At 43.1% G+C, this 16,001-nt stretch overlaps 1 protein-coding gene and 1 pseudogene across 7 annotated transcripts in view; one reads left to right on the forward strand and one right to left on the reverse strand.

Annotated features, from left to right (window-relative positions):
- Positions 1-16,001, reverse strand: part of PLAC1 (placenta enriched 1) — a 198,485-nt gene that overhangs the window by 81,819 nt on the left and 100,665 nt on the right. For 2 of the 7 annotated variants that reach the window (NM_001316889.2, NM_021796.4), the window contains exon 1: positions 10,672-10,815. The exons of the other annotated variants lie outside the window; for them this stretch is intronic. The gene's annotated coding sequence lies outside the window, so the exon portion shown is untranslated. Of the gene's footprint in view, positions 1-10,671; positions 10,816-16,001 lie in introns of those variants that run through there. 7 annotated transcript variants of the gene reach the window in all.
- On the forward strand, positions 3,127-3,788 carry RPS7P12 (ribosomal protein S7 pseudogene 12; annotated as a pseudogene).

The following is a 16,001-nucleotide window of genomic DNA, read 5'->3' on the forward strand; positions in this document are numbered from 1 at the left end:
GGCTCCTCTCTTGCTTGAAAGGAACATCCAAGCATGTGCTTAGTGTTTAGTTTTCCTGGAAAAATAATTTTTCTGGCATGCTAAAGAGGGTGAATTTGCCTTCAGAAAGGATTGTGTCATATCCATAACCTTTGCAGCCTCTCTATCATTTCCATGGATGAAAACTTTGCATTCAGGGGAAGACGAACCAAACATCTGCTAGAATAAGGTTTCAGTTTTCACTGCAGGAAAACTGTGTTGTGTAAAGAAAAATAGAGATACACCCTTGGGCAGTTTTTTGGGGGTAACCTAGCAACCCATCGAAATCAAGAGATTTTTGAAGGATACTGCAAAGTAGAATCAGGTCTGACTGTTCAGTGTTATGATTTTAAGGGCACTGAGTACAGATAGCACCCCACCCCTCACCCCCAGCACCCTGCCTGGAATTTCAGCTTTTAAAAATTCATTCCTTTTATTTGAAAGACCTTATGTGTCTTCTGGAGTCATGTGTTGAAGAGTAAAATACGCCTGGGAGGAATATCACCTAAAACCCTATCAGCTGATAACAGCTATCTCTTCAGTGAAGATGGAGAGCCTGGGATGGGACAAAATGATCTCTGGGAATAGCAGGAATAGGATGCCTGAGTGACAAGAGGGGACAAGGGAATGAAAGGGAAAATGGAAGACATGGCTAACTTAAGATACCATAAACGGAAGGAACCTCATAGACCATCTATACCAATGCCTTTTAAAAAAACATTTAAAAAACGTGGAGGCTGGGTGCTCACACCTGTAATCTCAGCACTTGGGGAGGCCGAGGTGGGTGGATCACTTGAGGTCAGGAGTTCAAGACCAGCCTGGCCAACATGGCGAAACCCCGTCTCTACTAAAAATACAAAAATCAGCCTAGCATGGTGGCACATGTCTGTAGTCCCAGCTACTCAGGAGGCTGAGGCATGAGAATCGCTTGAACCCAGGAGGCAGAGGTTGCAGTGAGCCGAGATTGTGCCATGGCACTCCAGCCCGGGTGACAGAGCGAGACTCCATCTAAAAAAAAAAGGTTAAAAAATAAAAAACATTGGAACCCTCTCCTCAAACACAGAACCCCATTATGTACGAAATGAATACAAGTGGGGCTGCTCTGGTTAAAGTGGGGGCAAGAGCCTTGGGACCCAGTTTACTCAGACTCTCTACTGCTTAAGCTAAGAGAAAAGTGAGGCAGGACCACACTCACCCAGATAGTGAGAATCGATGGTTCAACATGAATTTTGTGGGCCAGTTTGTTAAATATAGCCATTGTTAAAAGTGAAATGATCTAAACTTACAATTAGGTTATATTAAAGACAAAGCAGGCCGGGCGCAGTGGCTCACGTCTGTAATCCCAGAACTTTGGGAGGCCAAGGTAGGTGGATCATGAGGTCAGGAGTTTGAGACCAGCCTGGCCAACATAGTGAAGCCCCATCTCTACTAAAAATACAAAAAATTAGCAGGGCGTGGTGGCGGGTGCCTGTAATCCCAGCTACTCAGGAGGTTGAGGCAGGAGAATCACTTGAACCTGGGTGGAGGTTGCAGTGAGCAGAGATAGCGCCACTGCACTCCAGCCCAGGTGACAGTGGGAGACTCCATCTCAAAAAAAAAAAAAAAAAAGACAAAGCTAATGAATACTCAAAACTCATCACTTCCTAATTATTTTACTACACTTACTGTTACCTATGCTTTTGAGGTTATTTACATCTATTGTATCTGTATGGTGGAAATACGCTATGATGCCTTGCTGTTGCACATGTATTCCGGACTCCTTGTTCAGTGATGTCATGTCGGGAGCTTGAAATTGGCCATGGTGGGAGCATTTACACCATGGAAATCAGCAAACACTATAAACCAGCATTCCCCTCCCTGCTCAACTGAGGGAGGCCAGCACGCCACTGACTATACTATAATGTAAGTCACCACTTCCTTGGAAGCTATACTTCCAGCAACCTCAACCATGTGGAATGAAGAGGAAATACATCCAAATGGCCAACCATTATCACAAAACACATCCACTTTATACTCCGTGGGAGAGAAAAGCCACTGTAAGGCCCTAGCCTAGGCAAACATGTGTTAAATAACATGGCAGATAAGAAGTGCTGGGCCTCAGAAAATGGTAACCCAAACGATGGCGCTTTGGCATGCTGAGTACTTTGAACTAAAGGAGACTGGAAGGTCTCAGAAGCCACCTCAGAAGCAAAGTCTCTCTCTGACCTTCTCCTACCCTCCTGTCTCCCGCCCCGGGGGGAATCACAGAAACTAGAACCTCTCTCCCCCAAGGCAACCCATACAATCTAGAAAGGTCACTTCTTCCTTGTAGACCCTCATGCCAGAGAGTTCCTGCCCTATACCCTGGAGGAAGGAATGCTACACAGAAAAGCCAAGAAGAATCTAAACAGACAGGCCTTACTGGGTACCCTCTGCCTTCAGTCTATTACCATTAGATCATACCCTTTATCCAATCACATTTCTAAACATTCTTTATAGAATCTAAGCATAAAAATACTCAATTTTCCCTGGGTCTTTGGGTCTTCATTTCTGAAATTTCCCATGTCATGTAAAACTTTGATTAAATAAATTTGTTAAATGCTTTTCTCTTGTTAACTGTCTTTTGTTATAGGAGTGTCGGCCATGACCCTTATGATGGGTTAGGAAAGAGATCACATCTTTCTGCTCCTACAGAAACAACACGGTGACAGCAGCACGGAGAGACAGCTGACACTGGGAAGTCTCGGCACCACAATCTGGAGCCTTTTATTACAAGGGTAAACAACCCGACTTATTCCCGAGACCCTCAAAGACCTCACTGCATCACAGCCCAGCACAGTTTAGGAAGTGGAAGTGTTCATTCTCTGACCCCCTCAAAATGGGCCAAATTATAGGCAGAACAAGTTCCATAAGAAGGCTCCAGGTCTGTCGTGTCCACAGCACCCAACACAGTGCTTAGTGCACAGAAGGCCCTGAATAAACAAATATCTATTTAAAGAATGAAACCAATATTCACAAGCAAACTCCTTGCCTCTTTTACCACTGTTTCCAGAAAAAAGACTCAGGATGTTTAGTTTCAGAAAGCAGTGGAGTGTGAATACATTTCAAAAGCTATCTATCCCAAACTGTGAGACTTGGGCTTCTTCCTAAGCCAGCACTCAGCAAGGAGAAGGCCACGTTCAGTTTGAACACTAGGATCACGAAGCCCAACGGCAAGAAGCCAGACAAGTTCAAGTTCGGCATCTCCCAGGCTCTTCTGGAGCCAAAGATGAACGTGGACCTCAAGGCTCAGCTCAGGGAGCTGAATATCACAGCAGCCAAGGAAACTGAAGTTGGTGGTAGTCAGAAAGCTATCATAATCTTTGTTCCTGTTTCTCGACTGAAATCTTCCCAGAAAATCCAAGTCTGGCTAGTATGTGAATTGGAGAAAAAGTTCAGTGAGAAGCATGTTGTCTTTATTGCTCAGAGGAGAATTCTGCCTAAGCCAACTTGAAAAAGCCATACAAAAAATAAGCAAAAGCATCACAGGAGCTGTACTCTGATAGCTGCGTACCATGCGATCTTGAGGACTTGGTCTTTCCAAGTGAAATTGTGGGCAAGAGAATCCACTTGAAACTGGATGGCAGCTGCCTCGCAAAAGTTCATTTGGACAAAGCACAGCAGAACAATGTGGCACACAAGGTTGAAACTTTTCTGGTGTCTTTAAGAAGCTCATAGGTAACGAAGTTAATTTTGAATTCCCAGAGTTTCACTTGTAAACAAAAATGACTAAATAAGGTATATTCACAGTAAAAACAAACAAATAAACAAATAAAAACAACAAAAAAATGAAACTGAGTTCCAAAAGGATTGATACCCAAAGGGGCCAAATGTCTACTCTTGGATAAATCTTTGGTATGAGAACTCTAATGCCCTAATGATGTCTGATAAACAGGAAATGACTTTATCAAGATGCGGAGCTGTCAGCGCCATGGGTTCTCCCAACTGTCCCTACTCCAAACATCTCTGGCGTCCCTCTTCTCTCCCTTCTGTGCCTGTTCCCTTCACTTTCTAGTCTCTCACCCCCTCACCTTTTTCCCCCCTTTCTTCCTCTGTCCTCCTCATGCCCTCGGCCTGCCAGTCATCCCCCACTTGGCCCCAGTCACCCACCAGGCCAAGTCCTGCCTGAGACCCTCAGGCTGGAGAGATTGCTTCCCCCATACCCAGACAAAATGTGTTCAGTAGACAAATGCATTGTCTCCAGCCTTTACAAAGGAAGCTCACCTAGAGCCAAATACTTTCCTTTTCTCATTTCTTAATTTCTACGGGGGGAGGAGGGTATCATGTGGGTGTGTGTATGAGTATCCCAGACGACTGTGCTGTATCCAAAGTACCTTTTATCCCTGTGTGTCCTTGCAGCCTACTTTGGCCTATCTAAAGTTTATAGTATTGCAGCAGAGGAACTTGAGCCTATTTCCTGATTTTAATTAAGCCTTTTTGGGTTACAGTGACCCAGAGGCAAATATCTAGTTAGTTCAGGCAGACTCGGAAAAGAGCTTAGGCTGGAATTGCTGGGTGAACTGAAGGTTTTCCTCAGAAAACACCCACGTTGGCAAGTCACGTGGCTCAAATAGGATGGATAGTTGGTAGGCTGCCCTTTTCTTCTCTGGCGGCATGGTCAGTAATCTGACTATTGGTCTTCACGGACATTTTGGGGTCCTTCTAGAGGATCTTGTGGTTTGCGGCCAACCCTAGTGAAGTTTGTTATTTCTGTTCTCTGGTTCTACAGGCAACTGCTCCCAGGTGAGTGGTGCAGCTGGCCCTTGGTCAGGTTGACTCCATAGCAGGGCTATCCTAGGAAACCTCATTTGAAGATAAACCTGTCACCACAGGGGTTGAATCAATAGGGAGAGAAAATTCAGAAGTGGGCTTGGGTGAGGAAAAGTAATCTGAAAGAGTCTAGCTGGCCAGCTGACTTCCAGAAATTCTGCTGGAGCAGAGCAGTGCTGGCCAAGTTACTTAATCTCTCTGTGCCTCAGTTTCCACATCTGTAAAATTGGTTAACAATAACATCTACCTCACAGTGCTGTGGTGAGGATTAAATAAATGATATATCCAATATGCTTACTCTAGCATCTGGCACATAATATGTGTTTTTAAAAGCATGGGCGGGGGTGGGGGCAGTTACAGAAAATCAAAACTGTGGATTTCTTAAGAGACATGGCAGAGCTGGAATAAACTGTCATGCAAAATCCTTGAGGCCTGATCCCCCAGATGTGAGGTCCGCGGCTGCTCTCTGCTACTGTGGTCCATCAGTCTGTGTCACTGCATAACAGCGCAGGTGGAAGTGTCCCTGGGCTAGCAGGCTCACTGAAAATTCAAAGCACATGCACTCAGCACAGTCATGGTAATAATAGTGGTAAGGAATTGGAAACTGTGGTGATGGCTTCCCGATTCCACAATCATTACAGTCCAGGTGTGCCTGTGGGGCCATATATGAGAAGAGTCCTGGCCCAGGCCCCTCATACACTCTCCCCAGGCCCTCTCCTCAGGCCTGATGGCTCATCTCTCTCATTCCTGAAGGTTCTACCAGTGGCTCAGGGGCCATGTTGGCAGGCCTGGGTCTTCTTGACACCCTTCCCTCTCCTAACCACCTGCTCACCCTCCAGGCTTACAACAAAAACCAGACACATCACTACCCACCCTTCTCCATTTGGTTTTTAACCTTAAGTGAAAAGCTGCTTGTCTTAAAAAAATTAGAGATCCTGTCTTTACCTCTGAGACACTTTGATTTAGAGAAGACAGGGGACGTCAGTGCTTCACACTGAAATGTGAACATTTCAGGCAGTGTGACAAGCCAATGCAGTCCTCTGCCATTGTGGGTCCCTAAAATGACATTGGGCCTTGCTCTACCTTGTCCCAATGCAGAGGGTGAGTTAGATGCAGAGCTGGGTTTTCTAGGACACCTGAAGAGACCAATATGAGGTCAGCATATGGCTTCATGGGTCTGTGGGCACACAAGGCCCCTCAGAGCTCCTGCTCTTGTCTCAGGATTGTTCTTAAAACATTGTGACTGGGAGTCCTAGGGCCGCTTCTAGTAGGAGTTCAATTCCACAGACCATTAAAAAAGTCATTTCTTAGAAATTCAAGTCCATATCAGGAATGATAAAAGGATGGCTGTCTCCCAAGGTCTGCAAGCTGTGTAGGATTTAGCTGCAAATAAATAAAATAAATAAAGGAATCCAGTCCCTTTTTGTTAATTGTGCCAGTGCTTTCATTTTTCAGGCAATTTCAGTTCAGTCCAGATCTGGTTTCTGGAATCACATTTTTCCAATCATCCTTCCCATTTGCAAGGAGGAGTCTTATGTCCAAGTATGTGATTTGAATTTGCCCAGGTGCTGCCAGTTAGGGAGGGTTTTCATATTCAAAGCTGCACATGCTTTGGAAATGTGACCCCAACGATTGCAAGAGGAGGCAATCATCTCTGGAGGGGAGGGGTTGGGGGAGGAAGCTTGTATGGGAATTAGTGGGCTCCATCCTTGGACTTCAGCATTTCTCAGGCATCTTGCCTGCTCTGTCTATTCTCAGGCCTTTAACTAGCACCATTAGTGGAGCTTCCATCTGTCAGTGCAGTCCTGTCGCTGGAGCCCTAGACCTGGTTCTCCAACTGCGTATGGCAGCACTGCCCTAGCTGGAAAGCTTGTTAGACAAATACCCAAATGATTCTTACGATCAGGCAAGTTCAGGAAGCCTAGGCAATGTTTTTTCTACCCAGATGTTCCACCATCTCCCAAAGCACAATATGATTAAAACCATACTCATCCTAAAAGCAATTCATCCTAAAAACTGTACTGAAAGAATGAGACATAACTGTACTGAAAGAATGAGACAGATCTACACGTGGTTATATGGAACAGTCAGGGTGTGCCTGTGGGGTTCAGATGAGAAGAGTCCTAGCCCAGGCCCCTCATGCACTTGCTGACTTCACCTCTCCCCAAGCCCAATGGCTCACCTCTCTCATTCCTGAAGGTTCTACCAGTGGCTCAGAGGCCATGTTGGCAGACCTAGGCCTTCTTAACACCTCCAAGAAGGCTCCTGAAGTGAAACAAAAAAGCAGGCTGCTGCCATTACAGTGGAAGCTCGCTTAGCTGACGTCTGTGGGGCCAACTCTCACAATTAAAGGATGCTCTCCATTTCCTGTGTAAAATGCACTGATTGATACCCACAGTATTCTGGATGCACTTGGTCACCACTCCCTAGTGGGTCCAAGCACTTCCACTTTTACTGATTTTTAATTAACTAACTACTCTCCCAGTTGAATAGATAAGAGAGTCTACTTGTAGCTAACAAAAAGATGCATAGCATGAACCTATCTATTTATTAACAGAATTTACAAACACATACATAGGCTTGTAAAATGCAGATAACATTTCAAGAAATGTGACCAGTGGTTACTTCTGGGAAGGAGTATTGGGTGTCTGGGGCAGAAAGGTTCCCCCCATACCCTTTTTTACTGTTGTTGTTGTTGTTTTTTACAATGTTCATGCATTATTTTTTCCTGAATTTTATTTTGAAAAAATTCAAACGTACAAATAGATCAAAGAAGTAGAACAATGAACATACATATAACCACCAAGATTCCACAATTAACATTTCAACATAGTTGCTGTGTAGTTCTGTTTCTATCAGTCAATCTATTTACACACACACACACACACACACACACACACACATATATTTGAAGGTCACAGGCATCATAACACATTCCCACTAAATTCTTCAGAATGACTCTTTAAAGAATAAGAAGATTCTCCCTCCTAACCACAATATATTATCACAGCTAAGAAAATAAACAATAATTCCTAATATAATCTAATTTCCAATCCATATTCAAATTGCCCCAATATTCCCCAAATGTCTTTCATAGCTTTGTAAAATCCAGAATCCAAAACCAAGGTTTGTGTATTGCATCTACTTATGTCCCTTTAGTGTCGTTTAATCTAGAACAGTGCATGCTCCTAATTTTTGTGTGTGACACTGAATTTTTGAAGAGTTCAGGCTAGTTGTCTTGTAGAATATCTCATATTCTGAATTTGTCTGTTTTCTTATGGTATGTGTGTTTTTAAAAAAATAAAAAGATTTAATAGCAATAATAATAAAAGAAACCAGGCTCTGTTTTATATAAACAGCAACCTTAAAATGAGTATGCTATCCCAATATGCCTAGTAGCAGCATTGCCCAGTCTTCTGGTTCCCATATCAGATTCTTTAATCATCCCGCTGTCCTTCTTTCTCCTTATTCAGCCAGTTCCCAAGTCTGTGAATTTGCCCTTTGACATGCCTAATGGCTTAATGCCTTCTCTAGTCCCACCATGCCCCTACCCTGGATCAGGCCTTCAATACCTCAGCCCTAAAGTATTGCAACTGCCTCCTAATTGACCCCTCTAGTGCCAGAATCGTCCCCTGAACACCTGCTGCACTGTGAATATAGAAAACACACTGCCTTTTCTACGTCACTCCTATCTGGAAAACCATCAATGGCTATTTCCTATTTCTCATCTTTCTTCAGTCAGAGCCAGCTTTGAATGTAGCCTTCAACACCAGACAGAGACCGATCTCTACCTAAATCCTAGTGCTGCCATTACTTGCTGAGTGGCCTTAGAGAAGTCACTAGGCTTATCTGGCCTTCCATTTTCTTATCTGTAAATTGGAAATAACAGTTGTGCCTACCTCTCAAGTTTGACCAGCATTTGCCCACAGAGCTCCCACCTTTTCTAGGGGTCACTCCAAGCCTCATCCTTTCTTTAAGTCTCAGCTGAAGCCTTGCCTCCTCCAGGAGGACTTCTTATTCACAGCAGCACCCCCTCTCTGAATTTCCATAGCACTTGTGGTCTATAGGGAAGAATTTAGCAGATACTAGTCTTATTGCCCACTCATATTTACATTTTCCTCTTTTTTTCTTTTCTTTTTTGAGATGCGGTTGTGCTCTGTCCCCCAGGCTGGAGTGCAGTGGAGTGATGATGGCTCACTGCAGCTTCGATCTCCTGGGCTCAAGTGATCCTCCCATCTCAGCCTCCTGAGTAGCTAGGACCACAGGTGTGCCCCACCAAGCCTGGATATTTTATTTTTAGTTTTTGTAGAGACGGTGTCTCCCTACATTGCTCAGGCTGGTCTTGAACTCCTGGGCTTAAGTAATCCTCCTGCCTCAGCTTCCCGAAGTGTTGGGATTACAGAAATGAACCACCATGCCCAGCCTTTTTTTTTTCTTTTTTAACATTTGTAGACATTTTCATCTTATCTGCTCATTTGGATGGCCAGGGCCCCTTGAGAGCAGGAGTAGATCTACCCATTGTTTCTCCTAGAGCCTGTTAGAGAGCTAGTGCTATGCTGAGCATCCAGCAGCTCCGAGCTGTCACTTGACCGTGAGAAGATGCTTTGTTCATCTTTAGAGTCCTCCTTTAACTCTGATTGTCTCTAACTCCAGTGAGACAGGAAGGACCAAGGGTTGCGACCATCATCCAAATAATCATAGTAATTCCACCTATTTATAGAGCACCAATTATGTATCCAGCACCTTGAACATACGGATGCTCCTTGACTTATGATGGGGCTATGTCCCGATAAAACCATCACAAATCAAAAATATCATAAATCAAAAATGCATTCAGTACCCTAATAAGCCCGTCATAATGTCAAAAAATTGCAAGCCAAACCATTGCAAGTTGGGGACTGTCTGTATATTCTATTTGATGCCAATTAAGCAGATAAAGAAACAGAAGATCAGAGAGGATAAGCAACTTGCCCAGTGTCACTCAGCTATTAACTGCTGAAGCTGGAACTTGAACCCAAGTTTGTTTAAATACAGAGCCCATATTTGTTCCCTGCTGCCTCTGTAGTAACAGTGATCAGTATATTGATAGAAAGAAGGACAAGTTATTAGAGCTGCTGGGATTAGAATGCAATTTATTCTACTACTCTTTTTATAAATGAGAATGTCCACCCTGAGAGTAACATTGTGCTACCAGTGGTGGTGTAGTTTCTGTGAATCTGTTTCCTCTCAGAATCAAGGTCCAGAGACATGCCTCTCTGTGGTCATGGGAGAGAATGAGACAAAGCAGCTCACAATGGATTTAGGGTCCCTGTCTCTTTCTCAAAGAGTCTGAAACTGATCATCTGGGTTAATAGGAACACACAGCTAAAAGCAATGATAAAGATAAGTAGGAGAGTAAAGGAAGAGAGAATGATGAGATGGCAAGTAAACAGGGGAAAGAATAGGCAGTTAGACTGGGAAATATGTGTAGGGGAATCCCACATGAATCCCTAAAAAATACCCTGTGCAGTTGGGGAGTGGTGCATGTGTGAGTGTGTGTGTGTGTGAATGTATGATATTGATTTTAGATCTATGTGTGTGTGTGTTCAATCTTTAGATTTAAATAAAGAACAGACCAAATTCAGAGTCTAACTGCCTCCTTCTCAGCAGCCACTTCATCACCCCCATGTCACATTTCCCAGCTGGAGGGCAATAATTGCATGGCCAGATCTGGCCCCATCTGGGAAACACCAGGGTCTTCCTGAATCGTCATACACCATGCTGGCTGCCAAGGCATAAGGTGACCTAAGCGAAGCTTTCACACAGGCCATGTGCACAGTCATAAAATCTCGAGAGAATGTGGCAACAGAGACAGACTTGACTTACCTGCCAAATTTCCAAAGGGAAGAAGGAACTTGCTGTGTCTGTATTTGCCCCCAGGATTGGAAAAATGTATCTCAGTCACTGGAACTGAAGAGGGGTGGCCTTTACCTTCATAGGAGAGTCACTCTTTATACAAATCCTTCTGATGGTCTGATATATGTGTGTGTCTTTATATAAATAGAGCTATATACTGACTTTGCCAGATTGCATCAGCTACCTGCTTAACATTTTACTCTGGTGCTTTCGAAACAACACTCTGAAAGTCAGAATAATATGTGGCCTCTGCAGCATTTCCCAGTTTGGCATTTTGTTTACAGAGTAAAAGAAAGCTACTCACCCTTGAGATCATCAGTGATTGAATGATACCTACTGTCATGTGTTAGAAGCCATGTCACCTTGACAGAACTCATTCACAGGAAGAAGGGCGGGGAGGAGGGTTACAACATGGTGGTGGTAATTCTTAGAGAAATCAAGCAGTGAGCTGGCCACTTGTAGTGCTTGCTGTTGCCAAGGCAGTCTTTCGTGTCTTTACTCAGTAAACACATATCAGGCATAGGGAATACAAAAACAAATAATATATGTCCCTTCCCACCAGGAATCCAGCCTTTGTCCCCAGTTCTCTCAAGGAGCCCACTGCCAAATGAGAGGTAAGCCTCTTCAGGAAGAATGCTCAGGGAGAATGAGAACACATGGACCCAGGGAGGGGAAAACACACACTGTGGCCTCTTGGGGGGCTGTGGCGGGTGGAAAGCATCAGGAAAAATAGCTGATGCATGCTGGGCTTAATATGTAGGTGATGGGTTGATCGATGCAGCAAACCACCATGGCACATGTTTACTTACATAACAAACCTGCACATCCTGCACATGTACCCCGGAACTTAAAATTTAAAAAAAAAAGAAAGAATTTTTAGGGATTACTGGTCAGTATGGTTGCCTGAGCTGTTGCAGGAAGCTCCTCCCCTGCTCAAAACACATTGTTTTTTCAAAAATTTAAATATGTTGTAGAGAGCAAAAGCAAAAATAAACATATTCTAGTGCCAGAAATGAAGAGGGAGCTCAAAGCCACAGCAGCAACTACACAGCCCACAGAAGAACCAAAGGTGGTCACATATCCTGGGCGAAGGGTTTGAATGGCAGGGTGGGAACGGGAGTGGAATCTGAGCTCCTATGGAAAGTCAGTAGTGGTAAGTGCTGGCCCATAAGTGGGGATGGGGGAAAAAACACAGTTCAGAAGTGTACTGGCCACTTTGAGCTGAGAGTAGGCAGTCACATAACCCAAAGTACATAAGACTCCAAGGTAAAACAATTCCTGCCAAATAACAGTAATTACACTAGCCAAGTGCTTAATTATGTGCCAGATGCTGTCCTAAGTGCTTGGCTTATATTATTTAGGTTGATGCAAAAGTAATTGCGGTTTTTGCCGTTGAAATTAGTGGCAAAAACTGCAATCATTTTCCACCAACCTAATAACTCATTTGTAGAACAGCCCTGATTTCCAGATACTGAAACTGAAGAACAGAGAGATTAAATAACTTACCTAAGGTCACACAGGTACTAAGTGGCAGAGCCAGAATTCAAACCCAGGTGGTATATAGCACATGAATCTGTGTTTGTATCTATGACTCAGGATGAATGCATAGCTAGAACTTACTAAGTCCGTGAGGAAATAAACCACCATAAGACCAGTGCAACCAATGGAAGAATTCATACCTTAAGAACCACAGCTAATAAGAAAATCTAAAAGGGATTTTAAAATAAGTATGCTGAAAATGTTCAAAGATTTTTTTTTTTTTTTTGAGACAGAGTATTGCTCTATCACCCAGGCTGGAGTGCAATGGTGCGATCTCAGCTCACTGCAACCTCCGCCTCCTGGGTTCAAGCGATTCTTCTGCCTCAGCCTCCTGAGTAGCTGGGATTACAGGTGCCTGCCATCATGCCCAGCTAATTTTTGTATTTTTTAGTAGAGATAGGATTTCATCATGTTGGCCAGGCTGGTCTTGAACTCCTGACCTCGGGTGATCCACCCGCCTCAGCCTCCCAAAGTGCTGGGATTACAGGCGTGAGCCACCATGCCTGGCCGAAAGAGGTTTTAAAAAGGAATAGAAACTAGAAGGCAAGAATAGAATAGTTTGAAAAATACAGGTGAATGCAAAAAAGAACCGAAATATAGGCATTGCAATGGAAAAAAGAACACTCAACAGAGGGATTAAACAACAAACTAAACACAGTTGATGAGAGAATGAGTGAACCAGAAGATAGAGCTGAGGAAATTATCCAGATGCAGAGCAGAGGAATAAAGAGATGAAAAATAAGAAAGGAAAGCTAAGCTACATGGAGGACAGAATGAGAAGTTCCAGTAAGTGTCCAGTTGGAGTTCCAGAAGGAGGGAAGAGAGAGAATGAGAAGAGGCAGTATTTGAAAGATAACAGAGGATATTTTCTGGAGTTGTGGGAAACCATGAGTCCTCTAACTTCCTGTCTTAGTATCAGCCTCTGGAGCCTGCAGGTCTGTAGCTAGTCCTCATGAGAGGAGTCAGCCTCTTAGCTCTGCCACTGCTGTGATAATAGCTCAAGAGCACCAAGTTGTTTATATAAACCAATGTTTCTCAATGTTGTTTTAAAAAAATTATCATCCCCTTCATCCCAGGAGCCTTTTTAGACGTCTTTTTTTTTTCTAATTTCTCCCCCCATTAAATTTTAATACCAAAGAGATGCTGTGTATCTGTGTATGTATTGTATGTGTACCTGTGCTTTGGGCAAGCATCCTATAGGATGTCCCCATCACCTGGAAGGAAGGGTGTTCTACTTCTTTTTGCCTCTTCCTTGGCATGGCTTTCTACTCATTCTTCAGGTGTCAGGTTAAATGCCACATCCTGAATCTCCCAGAATAGATCAGGCCGCTATGTTATATGCTCTCCTTTAAGGTACTAATGTAAAGTATAAGTAAATAATGATCTGCGTAATTACTTATTCAGCAGGGGCCATGTCTCTCTCGCGTTCTGCTGTGTCCCTGGGGCTCAGCACACTGGCGGGCAGTTGGTAGATGCTCAAATAGCTGAATAAATGAATGAGCACCATGAGTGGCATTACCTGAGCAGATGAGAGGAAAATCACAGCCCTGGGAGGAGCCTTGGAAAGCTATTTTAACTCTTCCCCAGTTTATGGGCAGAAGTATTGTGTAACTACTTCTGAAAGAGCAAAGTATGTGCTTTTCTTAAAACCACACTACAGTAGTTCCTTTTTCCTTTAAATAGTTTTCATTATTTGGAAGCAAAAGGTGGTCAGGAAGCAGTTGAGAATAGAGACAGACCTCTTTTTGAAAATACGTAAAAATAACATCTAAAATCATTTCCTATTTTAGAAGAGCCAGGGAAACTCCCAGCTTCAAAGAAACCCTGTAGTAAATTCTTTTGTTACAAGGAATAATGGACCAAATTGAGTGAAGATTCTCTTTTTACCTACTCCCCAACAAAAAAAGACAGGTTGAAATTTGTTATGGTCACAATGGTGTGCTCATACCAACTTACAAGAGACAAATTAATTTTGAGAGCTGAGTTGTTAAATTCAGCCATTATTAGAAATTAAATTATATAACCTTGCAATAAAATAAATTATATGAAAAACAAAGCTTGGCTAGGTGTGGTGGCTCATGCCTGTAATCCCAACACTTTAGGAGGCTGAGGTGGGAGGATCACTCAAGCTGAGGAGTTCCAGACCAGCCTGGGCAACATAGGGAGACCATATCTCTACAAAACATAATTTTTAAAAAATTAGCTGGGTGTGGTGCCACACACCTGTGGTCCCAGCTGAGGCAGGAGGATCGTTTGAGCCCAGGAGGTCAAGGCTGCAGTGAGCTATGATCATGCCACTGCACTCCAGCCTGGGTGACAGAATGAGACCCTGTCTCAAAAAACAAAACCAAAAAAACCCACAAAGCTAATACATATGCGAAACTCATCCCTTTCTAATTATTTGACTACACTTTGCTATTATCCATGCTCTTGAGGTTACTTATATCTTTTATATCAGTATACTGGAAATACTATATAATGTTCTGCCACTGGACATCTCTTCCCAACTCCACATTCTGTGACATCAAGTTGTGTAGCCTGAAGTTGGCCATGGTAGGACTATTTATGTCAGGGAAACTAGCAAATGCTACAAAGCAGTGCTTAATCTATTGTTGTGTTGATTGTCTTGACCAAGAGTTGAGAACTTTCCCCACAGTCTGTTTTTGTGTAGCCCACAAGCAAAGGATGATTTTTACATTTTTAAAGGGTTGTAAAAAAAATGACTATGTGGCTACAAAGCCTGAAATGCTTAGCCAGGCGCAGTGGCTCATGCCTGTAATCTCAGCACTTTGGGAAGCTGAAGCAGGTGGATTGCTCGAGCCCAGGAGTTCGAGACTAGCCTGCTCAACATGATAAAACCTCATCTCTACAAAATAATAAAAAGTATCCAGGCATAGTGGTGCACGACTGTAGTCCCAACTACTTGGGAGGCTGAGGCAGGAGAATTGCTTGAACTTGGGAGGCAGAGTTTGCAATGAGCCGAGATCATGCCACTACACTCCAGCCTTGGTGACAGAGCGAGATCCTGTCTCAAACAAACAAACAAAAAGCCTAAAATATTTACTATCTGGCTCTTTAACAAAATATGTTTGACGACCCCTGATCTAGGCTTAAGAAAGATGGAGGAAATGTTAATAGTGCAGCTGAAACTTAAAAATTGTGTTGTCTCAGTAGCTGTTACATTGTAAACAGCACAAAAAATTTGAGGAAATATCCTTCCAGTATTTAAAGATGATTATCTGATTTAGTAAAGAAGTCATTTATGTCACTATGTGAATCAGAGAAATTTTGACATGCATTTTGTTGTTTTGCTTTTGTCTTATTCATAAATGTAAACCAATGTATCAACCAATACTTATGTCAGAACCATGCTTGTTTGTTAATTGCCACCTTAGGTTGGATATGGATACAAGAGTTAGGTAAAAATCAACTAAGGCATGAGTATGAATGTTAATTAGCTGTATGAAATTTACAAGAATGAATATTGTATATTTTATTATTTTTGGATCACGTGCCACACATTTAAAATAAAGATATGTGTGTGTGTGTGTGCGCGCACGCGCGTGCACGTGTGCACACGTGCAGATTGTTAAGCATTTACCAGAACACACTGGTAAGAAGGGGCATAGGTCTGAGAGGATTCTTTGAGTCTTTGAATAGGTTCATGGTTCCTTTTCTTCAGGGGTTCTGAGCAAAGTTCCTAACCTGAAAACAAACACACATCTGAGCCATCTTAAGGCATTTGAGTTACGGCTGCAAGT

The sequence above is a fragment of the Homo sapiens genome, chromosome X (assembly GCF_000001405.40).
Source record: "Homo sapiens chromosome X, GRCh38.p14 Primary Assembly".
Taxonomy (NCBI): domain Eukaryota; kingdom Metazoa; phylum Chordata; class Mammalia; order Primates; family Hominidae; genus Homo; species Homo sapiens.